We start from the raw sequence: 16,932 nt of genomic DNA on the forward strand, positions 1-16,932 counted from the left end.
TCAAATACACGATATTGGGGGCAAAACAAAGATGGATATGATACACAGATGAAACCCAGGGAAAAGAAACTTTTCTAAATAAATTATCCAAATGTTTGCTTTTCATTTGACCTGAGCTGTACCTCTCAATATCATATATGTAGGGACTTTGGTTAATCATGTTATTTCTATTTGCACAGGGACACACAATCATTAACAGTTTGTAAATGCTTTTGATGATAATTTCACATGGCTGCATGAGAAAAAAATGTTAACATTCTGTCTTGGACTGTGTGAATGCCTCTAATTTTTTATGTGAAAAATTACAAACACCAATATTTGCTTTGTTGGTTTATAATCATTAGAAACAGAGATAAATTAATGGAAGATATATTTTTGGTGATTAGAGGAACAGACATGAAGTAAATCTGGTTCTTGAAATTATACTCTTTTGCTTGTTAAGTAAAATACTGAATGTCAGTTAGAAGGGTAATATTGACATTTAGTATTTTACTTAACAAGCAAAAGCATATGATTTCAAGAACCAGGTTTACTTCACTTCTGCTGGAATGTTCCCAAACATTCCAGACTGTTCTGACATGAGGTCACCATCATGGTTAGTCAGCAGGGTGAGATGCTGGTGTCATGAGGGTAGACTAAGGTTTTATAATTCATTCAGAAAGACATTTGGATGACCAGGCTATACCACACTGGGTCTCTCCTCCCAGGCAAGAAAAATGAAGTTTCTTGTCATTTTCTTATCTATCTGGTGCTCATTCTTGTATTTGTCCACTTAAAAATATTTATTTGCTCTCCCACCATGTGCCAGACCCTATGCTGTATATGCAATAAAATGAGACTAAGACCCCTACCATTAAATAGCTTACAATATTTCAGAGGAGACAGTGATAGAAGCAGTTACAAAACAATAAATCAATTAGGGAATGCAATGAGAACACAATAAATCAAACAGACAATGCTATAAGAAGAGGGCACACACAGTACTTTCCTGAAGGTACTGGGGTGGCTTCTCAGAGGAGCTAAAGTCTGGCATTTGACAGGAAGAGAAGTTGGGCAAAGCCAATCTTGACAGAAGAATGTCATGTTTAAAGGCACTGAGGTATTCAGGATACCAGGCAAAGGTGCACATGGAGGAAGGGTAGGAGATGAGACTGTCCAGATAGACGCCACTTCCCACATGCAAAGTTTTGGAGTTAGAATGTTATATTATAGCTAAAAATGTACATATATTCAAATTATATTAAAGTTACAATTCAAAGATGGGTAACACGTGAACAATAATCAGATTTGCAATTTTGAGTGACCAACCAGATAGTATTGTGTTGATTTGGAATGATGTGAGACTGGAAATAAGGAAATCCTTTAGGCAGTGCTTTGGAAGTACAGCTTAACTATTTATGAATTACTCCTTCTAAACTCCTGCCTTTTCCTCATATACTCCTGGTAGATACAGGATAGATATAGATTTTAGTAAGACGGAAAATTGGGGAAAAAAAGTATTCATTGAAACAACTTGTTACTGTGCTGTCTCATGAAAGTCTTATAGGAGGCCAAAGTTTGCTTAACTGTATAAACATGAAGCAGGAAGTCTTTCATAACGTATTTTAAACTTGAGTGAAATATATGCAAATGCATCAATATAATTCAAAGAAGAAGGTTTTAAACGCTGGAGAATAAATTCAAACCACCAACTAATATTGGAATACAGATATGAATCTCCTGGCTCAAAACCAAAGAGTGCTTAAAGGAGAAGGTGACAATTATATATTGAAGAAGAGAATTGCTTCAATAGGTATTTGACTGTATGGAAAAGGATAAGGAAAGATATTGGAGACATTTGGTAACTGAATAGTTTGGATGATCTCAGTATGTATGGGGAAGTATTTGATTCTGGACTCCAGAGTCACATGGGCAATTTTCATGATATTTGAATGTGTCACCAAAGATGACAGTTTTTTTTAAATGTATATATAGACAATGTGGAAACACTGAAAGTTTTTAAGGGAAGAATTGACTAGTTCAAACTTATAGAGTAGGAAGACAGCTGTGACAGCAATGTGTGGGGAAATTGTATGTAGGAGATACTGGAAGCAAGAGAATGTTAGAATATCGCAATAATCTCAGCAAGAAAAATGAAATGTTGAACATAAATTTTCCTGACATAAGCTGACTGAAATGCCAGCTACTAGATTAATAGAAAGGTTTAGTATGGCAAATATAAGTGTCTCTTTTCAGGTACTCTGTTTCCACCACAGAAAGTAGACATTAAAGCCATATGTGTATGGGTGCCCTGACAATAATTTGCTCAAAATTTTACTTTCAACCAATCTTCACTGCATCAATTTTTTTAAAAAAGCTATTATGTCAAATGAATACTTTTCTCAGTGGTCCAGTGAGCTTGGGTTGTAGTTAGCAAAGTCTAAGTTCTAAGCTTATAGCACCTGACAATACAAAATACTTTTCTTTTAAAGAATTTCTGTGATGATTTTTGCTTAAAATTTGTTTGACTTCACCTGTTTTCTCAGCCAGTATTGTGTCATTTTGTAGAAAGGACATTTAACCTAGTGGCCCACTGAGGCCTTCTGCCATGGACCTGCTGTGCGTACTTTGCTAAAATGGCTGCAGGGCTTAGACCTTGTCTAGGTCTGTTTGTCCATCTTCACAATGAAGATGTTGGATGAAAACATCACTAAGCCTCATGTGAACCTTACAGTCTTGAAAATCTATGTTTATCCAGTAGAACCAAACAAAAGTAAAACTTAAATTCTGCATTAAGATATACAAGCAATCAAACAACTGGTCTACTCATTTTGACTGTCTTAAAGTATCTGAAAAAAATTTATTAAGCCTGAAAGTTAATAACTATTGGGTTGCCACCTCCTCTGATGTTCTAAAACATTTTTTGTGTGTGTATAAATTTTAGTGTTCTAAATCCTTTGATCTCTCTATTGTATGTTCTCAAGCTTCCCTCCAGTCCTAGAGCAACTTGCTGTGAGTTATGAGCTGGGAGAGGTGATTAGGAGATAATATATAAACAATTAGAAGACAAGATGTCACTGATGTTGCTATTATGAAGAAAACACACACAAATGTTTTTTTGAGAGGTTAGAAGACCCCTGTCCAGCAGCAAAGCTTTCGTATGTAGGCTGTGTGTGTGAATGTTTGCTACAATGAGACTCTGCCTCTAGCCTGCTAAGTGATTAGGATAGTATCATGGTGGAAGATCACTCATGTTTATTTATGACTGAATGATTTTATTGAGGATGGCGTAGAAACCCCTTACCGCCGCATGCACTTTCCTACTGCCACGTTGCCACCAAATATGGGTTAAGGGCATTAGAAAAGAAATCCCACATGCAGCCGGGCATGGTGGCTCACGCCAGTAATCCCAACACTTTGGGAGGCCGATGCAGGCGGATCACGAGGTCAAGAGATCGAGACCATCCTGGCTAACACAGTGAAACCTCGTCTCTACTAAAAATACAAAAAATTAGCCGGGTGTGGTGGCGGGCGCCTGTAGTCCCAGCTACTCAGAGGCTGAGCCGGGAGAATGACGTGAACCCGGGAGGCAGAGCTTGCAGTGAGCCGAGATGGCGCCACTGCACTCCAGCCTGGGCGACAGAGCGAGACTCCGTCTCAAAAAATAAAATAAAATAAAATAAATTAAAAAAATAAATAAAAGAAACCCCACATGCTATGTCTGTTTGGATTAACTTCACAAACAAAATACAGGGAATATAAAGAAATATGAATGAAGGAATTATAAACCAGGTATAAAACTAAGAAACTTAATTTTTAACTATGGCTTGGGTTATCTAAACGTGTACATACATATAATATATGTGATTATATATGTAAAATACATATATATATACACAAAAATACTGAGGATTTGGGGCATCTTAGCCTCTGAGCTACCAGTTCCTCTAATGTTCTAAAACATTTTTATTTGTTATTATACTTTTATATATTTAAACACACACATATATATGCATATATATATACGCGTATATATATGCGTGTATATATATATACACGCATATATATGTGCAGAAATGCAGTCCAGTTTCATTCATTCACAATGGCAATAATATGGTCAGGAGGGGACATTTGGTAGATTTATAGGACAAACGGATATTTGTGTTCTGAATTTTTTTTGTTTCCTTTGGTTTACCATGTTTTCAATTCACAACTTGCTTGAGCATTGCACAGATTGGTAGAATATGATTTTATTAATAAAGCTCAATCTAAATGCCAGAAATTTAGGTTGTGGTATGTTACTTACTAGGCTTCTTATGTGGAACCAATGCTAAAAAAATAATTACATATGCACACTATAGTTCATATTTTAATAGGTCTTCACTGAGACCTACTATGAGCCCTAGAGGCCAGCTCAGTCACAATTTTTGAGCTGAAACTCCTTTTAAAGACACTGTACTTGTTTTTACTAAAGGTTAATGATAAAAAATAAGCAATTCTCAAAGGTAAGTAAAAACATTAAAAAATAAGTTATTTCATTTCAAAATATGTCCCTATTGGCTTTTACTCCTTTTCTATACAAACTTTTTGTGCAGATTTTGTAAAAGTCTTTTTATTCTTCTGAATATCACATTTTTTCCATCTACATATTGACTAATATTGTTTTAGCTTTTTAGAAGTGAAAGAATTTTAAAGAAATGTATAATAAACCTGATCAGTAAAAAAACCTTTTCGCAGATATCTAAAAGCTAATAATTTAATCATGTGATCTTATGTCACCCCAGTTTCTACATGTATAAACAAATACAGCAATATCTTACAATTATGGTGTTTTAATATTGTGAAAGATTCTCAGTCATACAGCTTAATACTTTAATATCTGATGATGCAAACTTAGCTTGTAAGGATTTGCGCATCTTGCAATAAAGTTCAAGTGACTAAATTACTTTGTGTATTTACAAATGACACATGATGGTACATTTACCTCTTTACTGATGTTAGCTGATACATTAGTCAGATCTCTAGATTGTGAGAAAATTCTGAGGAAATATTGCCTGGGGTAAATTTTAATTTATGCAGGAAAAAATTAAATGTATGCTATTTTGCATAAAAGCGCAAGTGTGAGTAAATTATGTATGGTAAATTCTCATTGCTGAAAGCTTCTTGCAAATGAAGAATAGTTTTATTTGTGTCTTACTAATATACCAACGTTTGGTTAGTTACATTTACTCCTGTTTGCTACAGGTAAAATGGATGGAACATCAGACAGCTCATTATAGAGACAAGTAAGCTCCAGTTCCAAAGTTGGTTGACAGAACAAGTCATGGTAAGTCTTGTAATTTTAGCACTACTGTACATCTGCAAGCTGTCTGTGGGTAAAATGCTTACTAAGCACTGCATTGGGGCTGTCAGAATGCTCATGGGTTGGTAATTAAATACAGACAGTGCTATGGTTTTATGGAGCTAAGCCAATATTTGTGCACTCTAGAAATCTCTTCTAGAAAGCTTTTACTTTGGACTTTAAGTTTTGGAAGAAGTACATTTTATTTTTATTGAGTAAACTTTCATTAAAAACACACTTTCTAGAGCCTTCACTGAAAACATTCATTTCTGTTTTTGTGTGATAAGTCAATGGCCAATTCACCTAGCAAAGAAGTCAATTGTCAGCAGTGCTGGCCTTTGCAGTGTTAGTTTTCCCTCTCTCAGGTTTTATCGTCAATTACTATTTTTAAAACACTCAACAAAAAGATTTGAAAGTAAATAGAAAGATCTAAAATAGAGCTGCTGGAAAGAAATATATTTATTTGCCAGGTGTGGTGGCTCATGTCTGTAACCCCAGCACTTTGGAAGGCTGAGGCAGGAGGATAGCTTGAGCCCAGGAGTTTGAGACCAACCTGGGCAACACAGGGAGACCTTGTTTCTATTTAAAAAAGAAAAAAAATTATCCAAGTGTGGTGGTGTGAGCCTGTGGTCCCAGCTACTTGGGAGGCTGCAGTGGGAGAACTGCTTGATCCCAAGAGGGACTGCAGTGAGCCGCGATTGTGCCACTGCACTCCAGCCTGGAAGACAGAACAAGACCCTGTCTCACACCCCCCCAAAAATGGTGTTTATTTAATTCTTACCACTTTTTACTTTCCTTCTGGAATTTAGTGCCCTAGTTTAAATATGAATTGCTTGTATACTTCAGTAGGAAATGAATAATTTTTCCTTTATTCTTGTTATAGATGTTCATTTTGATAGGTATAGAGTGTGTCACATAAAAGCATGCTATATAGCAGCACTAGAACCTGCAAACTATGACCCAGAAATCAAAGGCCAAATTCTGCCTGCATTTGTTTTTTTAAATGAAGTTTTATTGGAATACAGCTCATTTATTTATAGTTGCTTTCCTGCCACAATAGCAGAGTTTAATAGTTTGACAGATATTTGTAAAGTCTAAATTTTTTACCATCTGGCCCTTTACAGAAAAAATTTGTTGACCACTGGACTAGCACATGAAAACTTGTAAAGGAATACATATTTTTTATTTGTTTTTGTACTGTTTAATAACAAGAAAGAATACAAAAATATCATTTCAAATGAATTTTATTTTCTTTAACAGTGAGGAAAATTTGTGTTATTGCTTTACATTTTTAAAAAAACCTTAATAATATCCTGTAGCAGGAGTTTGTGGTTGGATGCAAATCCGTGTACACTCTTAGGTGGATAGTTAGTAAGTTTGTGTACCTTTAAAGGGAAATATTTTCTAACACATGCTGTGAGATTGGCATAAAAAGGAAACGGAGAATAGAGTTCAGGTGAGTCAGTGAAGTGGCTTCTAACCATGCAGCTATTATATGCCTGAAAACTGCATGCATTGAGGTTAGTCTGCAAGCCCTTACCAGCTTGTTATTGGCAAGGTTTCCAAACCTCTAACTGTATTATGGCTGTGGATTCATTATCTATAGCAGACTATTCCCCATGACTGTCTCAAAGATAGTTCCTGGGCCAACTTATATTTTTTAATCTGTACATTTACTTTCCAAAGAAAAAAAGTAAAAGAAACTTGTTAGGAAATTAAAAGTGTACATGTGCTGTTATTTTAAAAATTTTTTTGGTGTCATTTAGTTGTGAAGTAGCTGTGTATGCACATTTATGGTTAAAAAAACTGGTAGGACTGTGAGGTAATATACTACTTTCCAAAGTATAGCTTTTCTATAAAACATCTAGCAGAAGGATAATAGGTAATGATGCAATGGTTAACATTACCATTTTCAAAAAATTGAAAAGGAATCATCACTTGGAGCCAGTTTGGCATTTTCCTATAAGACATCCTATTTAGAGCTCTGCATCTCTGCTATGCAGTTCTGTGAATTTGAATCCAACAGAGAAGATGTAGCTTTCATACAATTTTCTTCAGTTATAAGAACCATAATCGTTCCAATGGGATGCTGTAAGCCTGGGTCACTTAAATCATTTCTGAAGACAGCAGGTGCTCTTCAGGGATGTGCAAGATGAGGAAAGCACCTGTTGTTGATTGTGTCTCAGCATCACCTACATAAACTTAGTGCAGGTCGACGTGTTCAGGAATCAGTTATGGAGAAGGATATGAAAATTTTGCACTAAGCAAATGAGCTGGAACCTAACAACAAAGAAAAATTTCCTGAAAAGTTAAGCAGTGTAGGTTCACAAAATATTTAGATACTCTCTCGAAGATAGTCCTAAGAATGTAACTGAATGGGACACAAAAATGAAGATATAAGTATTTACATTGAAATCTACTTCTCTGAAATAATTACTCCCTTCTTATCTGTTGTAAGATGTAACGCAAGATATAACATTCCCAGTCTTCTGTATTCCAATGATATGTGGAAGAATTGTGAGGATATAGAGCAGAGGTCAAAATTTGTGACATTGGGACAAATATAGCCTTCTAATATTTTATTGACTACAAATGTATTTTCATAAACTGGAAATTTTATTTAAAAATTTAGATTCCCAAATTACGTTGAAAATCTGAAATATTTTGATATTTGTTTTGTCTTTAAAATATTTTTTAAACATAAAAGTTGTACATGCTGTTGGTAAAAAAAAATTCAAATAGTACAGAAAACCATAAGGAAATGTTCTTGATCCCAGTTTCATTTTCACATTTTATTAAGTATTCTTCCATAAATGTAGATGAACATACATGTGAAATATACAATTGGATCATGATAACCATATTTTTCTATGCATAGATATTTTTCATTCCGTATTTTAACAATTCTCTTCGATTTTATTAACTTATATTACTTGAATTGCTTTATGCTTTCTTTTATTCCATTTTTATTTTCATTGCTTTAGTATTTTGAAATTAAATTATTTGATAAAGCTTCCTTTTCTCCTCTCCTACTTGATTTTGTATTGTACACATTTCAAATGCTGTCCCTATGATCTTGACAGTGTGTTCTTGCAGTGATAGAGGGCGTTGGGCTTCACAGCACCAAGGGCAGGTTGGGGCTTTCCAGCCACCTCTGTGAATACCATGCTACCTTCTTCTTGGATGATCTGTCATTCCTTTATGTGGCCATCCAAAAGTTTTATTCTGGCATTTTTTCTGAAAACTCACAAGTAATAGTCATTTTTGGAGAAATAATGGTCCTTTTCTTAAAGATGTGACCATGAGGTGGCAGTAGCACACAGCAAGCATTACTTGGGTGGTGCTTTGGTGGTTTTGTAAATGGGGGAGGTCCCTTATTGCAGGACGCCTTCCCAAAGGCAATAATTAGGGGGCCACCAAGCTAAAGGAGAGGGAGGCAAAAGGAACTCTTGGGAAGAGGAGGTTTGGAGAAGGAGGCGTCAGTCTAGAGGATGTTGCTCAGCAGCATGATGGAGAGACTCTGGGTGGGAAAGCTTTTAAGGGCAGCAGAAGCTTGGGGTCTGTTACAGACCCAGGGTTTATCTTATCTACGGTTAGCAGATGTTAGGTGCAGTTTTGTGGGGTTGCGCAAAGCAGGCAGGCTCTAAATGGCCAAAAATCTACTTATTTGGACTACATTTGAAACAAATGGATGTGCAAAAATGTGCATTTGTTGCCAGTGGGCTTTGGAGCTAGTGGTTCCACCCTGCTGTGAAGAAGTAAACACTGTAGGACCAATGTGCACAGACCATCTTATAACAACTAGGCCTCACTGGTTTTGTTTGTGTATGTGTGTTTTGTCATTATAACATACTACAAGTCTACAGAAAATATATACATAAATGCTTGTAGATACACTTATGTACAAATATGCGTAGAAAATAGACACATATAATGAATAGCATGTACGTACCATCTAGATTTGTTAGATTTATAATTTTGTCGTAAATGCTCCAAGTTTTTTAAAGGACTACATTACTAGAGTTGAATTCCTCTATACCCCTTCCTAGAACGATTCTCTTCCCTGCCTTCTTCAGAGGCCTTCCTATGTGTGCTTAGATTTGTATCCTAAATACGTATCATTTTAAAAAGATGTATAAAATTGTTTTGGGATGATTTAAAACTTTATATAAATGATATCATACTGTACATAGCCTTCTGCACTCTGCTTACAATTTTTGAACTGATTGAAATGTATTCAGTTGATACTTGTAGATCACATTTATTTACTGTTGCTGCTAAATAACATTTTACTGTGTGAATATAAAATGATTTAAACAATTTCATATTAATGGCGATTTAATTTGTTTCCAGCTTTTTATTTTTGCAAATGATGCTGTAGAGAACATTTCTGAACACGTCTTCTTATGCAAATGCTTCTACTTGGCTGTTTCATTGAGAGATTCTAGAAGCAAATCAGCAAATAATTCCCAAATAACCTATTGGCACAGGTCTAGAGTTATATCAAAATTAGATATAATTCCTATTCTTGATAAATTTATACTCTTAGTTTATAAGCTTTGTGTATACTTACAAATAAGAATTTTTCTACTATTTGGTAGTGTTTATCTCACCTGTCATTTTACTAAGTTTACGTGTATTTCTAAGACAGATATGTCATTAATGTCATTGCTTGATTATTTTCTCCAATACTTGGTTTTGGTAATCCCCTAAGATGCAAAGCAGATGTGACTATCTGAATTACAGTTTTGTCTTTAGGAGAACATTGTGTTAAAAAGCTTCCCTGAATTCCTAGTGCTGTCACTTTCTCAGTTAATGATTTATTAAATACATCAGAGCAATTAGAAAAATGAGATTTTTAAAAAATGTTTTCCACTACAGCTCAAGTAATTTAAATCACTCTTCTAAGAGATGTATGTTGGGAGAAGTCATAAGTGGAATGCACATGACATAGTAAGGATAATGATCAATGTAAGCAGATAACTTCTAATGGGAAATATATACATAGCTTTGGAATTACATTCCAAATCACTTGTTTTCCCAGCATTTATTGTATGCAACAAACACATAGAAAGTGGTTAGCTGAAACAGGTAGTTTGGAAATATTTTAACATTTTTATCTAAACAAATGACAGATTTTTTTTAAATGAAAAATGCTAAGTATAATAAAAGTGTATATTTATGTTCTCGGCAGCCAAATGTGCTTTTTAATGGAATTTAAATAAATGGAATTTTTATGACAAAAAAAGCAACAGTAAAAGCAGTGATTATGTTTTTCATAGTTCATTTGCCTTCTTTGCCCTGCAGACCTTGTGTGGAGGAAAATGAGATCCCGAGTGAAGTCTACAATGTCATTGACTCTGAAGAAGGACTCAGAGACCCATTGGTGTTTAATGACCCTTACTGGCCTATGCAATGGAAACTGGTATGATCTTCAGAAATAGATGGTTCTTTGGCAGTGTTAAGAAATATTATTTTTGTCATGTTCTAATGCAGTAGATAGGCACTTTTATGCACTGCCTGCTTTTATCTATTGGTTTTGCAGAGAGAGACTTAGCAAACTTTTGATGAAATATTACTGCCATCTTATTAATGAACACTAATCCTTTTAATTTGATTACATCCTTAGGGTTTGATTTAATCTATAAAAGACACCAGTAAAAACCCCAAGATATTTAAATTTGGTGTGTGTAAACAGACTCATTACATAGAAATGTTGTTGCCATTCAGGCTTGAAGTTTTTGTTCTTGCATAACTTAGAATATATTCTATATTACATCAATACTGAGAGAACTTGTCTTTATGGATTAAGTGGATGTTAGAACATTGCCCAACAGACTTTTTTTCATAATGCTTATTTTGTTGGACCTTTTAGTATCACATTGCCCTCCCATTTATATAAGACGGTAATAATGAAAAGGTTTGAGAAAAGCACCCTTAATTTTGAATGCAAATAAGTTTAAAAAAATGATGTACATACCATGGAAAATTTTATAAGGAAACATTTAAAATGTGAAGATAACTTGGTGATAATATTGGAGAGAAATTACAACCTTATTATATGCATAATTAGTTCTTCATAGGTCTGCAGATTATATTGTGTTGTAGAGGGTCCAATGTTGCAAAATGAGGAAAAGGTTAGGTGCATTTTATCATTTTAAGGGCCATGATGAGATAAAACATGGTAAGCTGTTGTGCTGGCTCTTTTTATGTTGATCATTGGCAGTTACCAAGCTGACTATCTGACATGAGCTGAAAACCTATGTTGAAAAAATGTCCAGTTCCATTTTATGTAGCTTCAACTCATCTTTAAAAAATGAAGTGATTTAGAACACATGTCACGCACTCCTGGGCCAGCCAGCTTCCCTTTCTCTCCTCGTATGTAATATCTTTTTTTCCCCTTTCTAGCAAGTACTTTCAAAAGAACTCTGTACATTTTAACATAAAAAATAAATTATGTTGGGCCATTTTGGAAAAAAAATACTTATTTGGCTAAATTTAACATTTCAAACAAATAAAAAATTCAAGCAGAAAATAATTGAGGACTGCTTCAGTTTCCTGGAGGTGGTATAATCAGTAACAATTTAGTGAACTAGAGTCAATCAGGATTATGAAAGTCAAAGAGAAAAAGAGTGATATTAAGAAAAAGGACTGAGGAAAGGTAACTAGATAAGGAAGAAGGGCATGAAATATGAAAAAAAAAACCTTTCTTTTTTTTCTTTACCTGAAGAAACAGCAAAAATTAAGATGAGTACTTGAAGATTACACATATGACACATTGTAATTTGTCACCTCAGAAAGAATACTTTCTTGTATTGGCAATAAAATGTCAAGCCCCTCTATAATGAGGTCAAGAATTTCAGCAGACACAATAGGGAAAGGAGATGGAGGGCAAGTAATACAGGAAAGAAGAGAAGAATTGAGTAGCAAGCAGTCAATAAAGTGACAGGGATTAGAAATGGAGAGAAGTCTTAGAGACCATTAAGCAATAGATCCTCTTAAAAGCAGCATAGAAGAGATCATGAAAGGAAAAAGCAGAAAAAAGAAGTTGTATGATGACCCTATATCATTTTCTAGGGCAGGAGTTGATAAACCTTTCCTGTAAAAGTTCAGATAGTATATATTCAGGGTTTGTGGGCCACATAATTGGCTGTGGCATATTCTTTTGTTTCTTTATTTCAGATTTTTTAAAATGTAAAAACCATTTTTTCACTTAGGGCCATATGAAAACAGGTTATAGGCTGGATTTTACTCACTGGCCATAGTTTACTGACACCAGTAGGGAGTGGGAGCTATGGAGAAATGAGGAGTCAGGGAGGAAGCAGCCATTCAGATGTAGGCCTTCAAGTGCTGTGCTGAGTTATACCCACATTACACTAGTACAATTCAGAGATGAAAGGTCTGGATTATTATTATTTCCAGGTAGCACCATTCTGGAGGCACATCTACCATTATGGAAAAGATTCGTTTTAGTACCCAGGCAAGGCATGGTACATAATTGCAAAGAATGGGCTGCACTTTACAACTGGATGGTGTATCTAAAACATATTAATAACAACAGACCTAAACTGTGTTGCAGAATCCATCCTCTCACCAGAATACCAACTTTATTTCAATGAAAGACTGAGTGGTTCAGGGTGTTGTGCTGCCTTAACAGGGAAATTTGAGGCCTTATTCTGATGAGCACCCTTTAAGCAGCCTCCTTCAGTTACTAGTTTCTCTCTCCGCTCTTCACAGCCAACCTTCCTGAAATGGTCTTTCTTATCTTCATTTTTGTGCTCATCTACTCCTCAGCCAACACTTGTAGCAATCTGGTTTTGTGATGCCCTTCCACGTATCTCTGCCATCGTGTCACCCCCACACTCTCTACTTAATCTCTCAATGCAACAGAGACTTTTCAGTTCTTGTGTTACTTGAATCATCAATTATGAACTTATAACTACTCATATAAAACCTTTGATAATTAAAATCAGATTTCTAATATTCATTCATTCATTCATAATATTCCTTTGCTGACATTACTAGTTTCAATTCTGGCTGTTTTGGTTCTAGACTACAAACTAAATACAACAAACCCCATAAGAATGCAAATAGCCGTGATTCCTCTCCCAAAGCTCTTTGATTGTGCCTCCCCAGCATTCCTTCCTGACTAATTCCATCTTGTATTCCAAAATTGACTCTGGCACTAAATCCTAAGAGGAGATTTTTTTTTAACCTACTACCAAAGTGAATTAGGCCACTTTTCCTCTGCACTCCCATGAAACAGTTGTGCCCTCGCTGCCATTTGAATGAGTAAACACATGAATTAATCAATGGGTTAATGCTTAGCAATTTGTGGGAGCTCTCAACTTGAGAATAATATGCTTAAGGACAGGGATTATGCCTTACTCCTAGTCCCTCTTGCAACCCATGCCAAGAAACCTGACATTTTAAAATACCATATTAGTATTTGTTTAATGAGAAAATTTTAGAATGCATATATAAATGTAGCTACTCATTTTTCTTCACTTTTCTATTCTAAAGTCCAAAAATCTGTTTAGTCCTTACTTGCTACAAACCTGTATTCTAATAAATATTGTTCTCACTTGGAAAATAAACTCCCATCTCTTTACCAATAATTTTAAGGGCAAAAAAATAAAAAAAATAAAAATAAAAGGATTATGTAATAAGAAGCCCCAGATAGAATGGCTTGAGTAGGCTGAGGCTTATTCTTTCACATCAGTAGAAGAGTTGGTCCACAGCCAGTATGAAGTCTCACAGATCAAGAGGCTCTTTCTGCCATCTCTTCCACATGGCTCACCACCTATTCTGCACACCGCCTGGTGGGAGGAGGCAAAAAGAAAGGAGGTGTATAGATGCCCATTCCCTTGCAGACACAGACAGAAAGTTGTACATATGTGCTCAGATTAAATGTGGAGGTTATCTTTCTAGAAGAAGGAAGAATAGCTGTAAGGAGACAACAGTCTCCTCCAAACACTAATTTAAAAACAAAATATTTTAAGCAAAATGTAAAAAATTATCTGAATTTTCTAATTAGTGTTTGAGATATAGTATAAACAAAAGAAAAATACTATTATAAAATAAAGGGATTTTTGAAGCTGCAGAACAAATTTTGAGATTTCAGTCTTTTATGAGCATAATTAAAACAATTGTTCAATAGAGTAGGAAACTCATCTTATTTGCCATTATTTGTCAAAATTTACCACAGTAAATGCTAGAGACTCAATGTCCTTAAGTTTGCACAGAGTATTATTTATACAGGCTAATTTCATCATGTCTATAAAATATCAGAAATGAAGGCATCTAAAACTATAAAATTATTTTTCTATCTGATTCCACCATTATTATTGTTTTCAATGAAAAATAATTTTAGTATTATAAAACTACCTGCAGATGGCCATGGTATTCTTTTGTTAAAGACTTGCAGAATTCTGATAATGTAAGATAATATTTATTACATTTTTGTCCTTGTACATTTTTTAGAGCATATTTCTTGAGAAATTCTAATAAGACTTTTAAATATCATATAGTTCTAAAGACTTGTATACAAATTTAATGAGCTTCTGCCTAAAATTATGCTAAAAAGTAGATATTTGAGAATAATTTGAAGAAAATTTTGACTTAATGTTATATTTTCTGAAGTACAATATTCTAATGACAAAGATTTTTAAGACCTTGTACTAGATTTTTGTGAACACAGCAAGGTATTACATCATGATGTCTGGAGTAAGTGGCCTAGGAGAAGAAGTAAAAGCTAGAAAAGAGATGACTTTTTATTAGATTAGGTAGGCAGAAATAATAGAACCATTTTAACAGATGCTCAAAGCTCCAAAGATGTGAATGAGAAAACTTACAGGAATATAGATTTTTAAGAAAGTGTATTTTCTGCTTTAATTTTTGATTCAGAAATTAATTTTGGAAAAAAGCAGTGTTGAATCTGCACATGCTTTATTTTACCTGTAAAACAATAGGGCCGAGTTGACAATGTAAATCTCGTAGAAGGTATCAGGACCCTTCCACTCTTGGAGATCATGTTTGTGAGCCAGGACTGTGTGGACTGTCACAGCAGAGGCCATGGGGCCAGGGTAGGGACAATGGAGAGACAAATTCAGCCTGCAAGTTTAACAAAAAAAGAAAATGTTTAATTTTTTTAATTGGACTTTAATTTTTGGAGAAGTTTTAGGTTCACAGCTAAATTGAGTGTAAGGTGCAGAGATTTCCCACATACCCTTTTCAGAACACATGCATAGCTGCTGCCACCTCCAGTCCCTTATCAGCGTCCTCTACCAGAGTGGTACTTTTGTTAGAAGTTATAAACTTACATTGATGTTTGATCATTTTAATATGGCCTTTTAGGTTAAAAATGTTAAAATTAAAATAAATGTTGCTATCACCTGGTTTATTAGAAAAAATGTAGGCTTTAGGGTTACACGAGTGTAAATTCAAATCCTGAGTCTGTAACTCCCGACTGTGCCGTCATTAACATTTTAATCTTTCTAAAAATCTATGAAGTAAGTATTATGAAAGTTACTTCGCAGGATTGTTCTTAGAATTAAATGAGATTATGGAGACAAAGCACCTGTCACCCTGTGTTTGACATGTGGTAAGCATTCAGTGCATAACTTGATAGCTAGCCAGATTTTGTTCCTACCTATAATGTGTTAAGCTTTTATTACATGGAAAATAAACTATGCTGACTTCTCCTTTCTCAATAACACTAGATAACTAAAGCAGTAATAGTACAGATTATTAATAATTATTTGTTATAATATAATGGGAATCATGTCTATGTCACTGGTCTCCAAAGAAGGGCTTACCCCACAATAGTTTATACAAACAGGTGCATTGGTATGTGGGGAAAAACATGAGAACTTCCATTTATTTTTTTATCTTTTAAAATTTAAAATTTTTGAATCTATTGAAATTATAGTATATCTGTACATGTTTCATTTATAAATAAATAAATATACACACATCGTGGGTGTATGTATAAACTTTTTTGAAGACTCATGAACAAAATGTTTGAGCCAATAGGTATACTCAGTGAGCATTCATAAAGTAGATGTCACAGTGTTTTTATTGGGTGTCTGCTACATGAACAGGACTAGGTATTAAATCTTTAAAGGCAAATCAGATATGGATATGGATTTTTACTTTAAAAAGCTTAAAGTCTAAAAGCGATATTAGCACATACTAATAAAAAACTATATTACTAGGCAGAAAGCCATTCTATTAAGAACACACAATTAAACAAAATCATTTTTAGCTTGTGGGAGATAATATTTGAACTAAGACTAAACGTGGAAACACTGCAAACAGAAGCATGGCAATGAGAAAAATATTTTTGTCCAGAGGAAAGTGTCTTGAATGTTTGACTGAGAAGTCCAAACTTCATTCTATACCAAGAGATTTTTTTTTTTTCGAGACAGGGTCTTGTTCTGTCACCCGGGCTGGAGTGCAGTGGCGTGATCATGGCTCACTGCAGCCCCGACCTCTTGGGCCCAAGCAATCCTCCCGTCTTAGCTTTCTGTATGTCACCATATCCATCTTATTTCTTTAATTTATTTTTCGAAGAGATGGAATCTCACTATGTTGCTTAGGCTACCAATAGA

At 34.7% G+C, this 16,932-nt stretch overlaps 1 long non-coding RNA gene across 1 annotated transcript in view; it reads left to right on the forward strand.

The window, feature by feature from the left end:
* The window catches only part of LOC101927314 (uncharacterized), a 403,332-nt gene extending 391,474 nt beyond the window's left edge, over nt 1-11,858 (forward strand). The window contains exons 4-5 of the long non-coding RNA NR_110757.1: nt 5,224-5,305; nt 10,628-11,858. This is a non-coding gene — a long non-coding RNA (uncharacterized LOC101927314). The remainder of the gene's footprint in view (nt 1-5,223; nt 5,306-10,627) is intronic.
* The last annotated feature ends 5,074 nt before the right edge of the window (nt 11,859-16,932 follow it).

The sequence above is a fragment of the Homo sapiens genome, chromosome 6 (assembly GCF_000001405.40).
Source record: "Homo sapiens chromosome 6, GRCh38.p14 Primary Assembly".
NCBI lineage: Eukaryota > Metazoa > Chordata > Mammalia > Primates > Hominidae > Homo > Homo sapiens.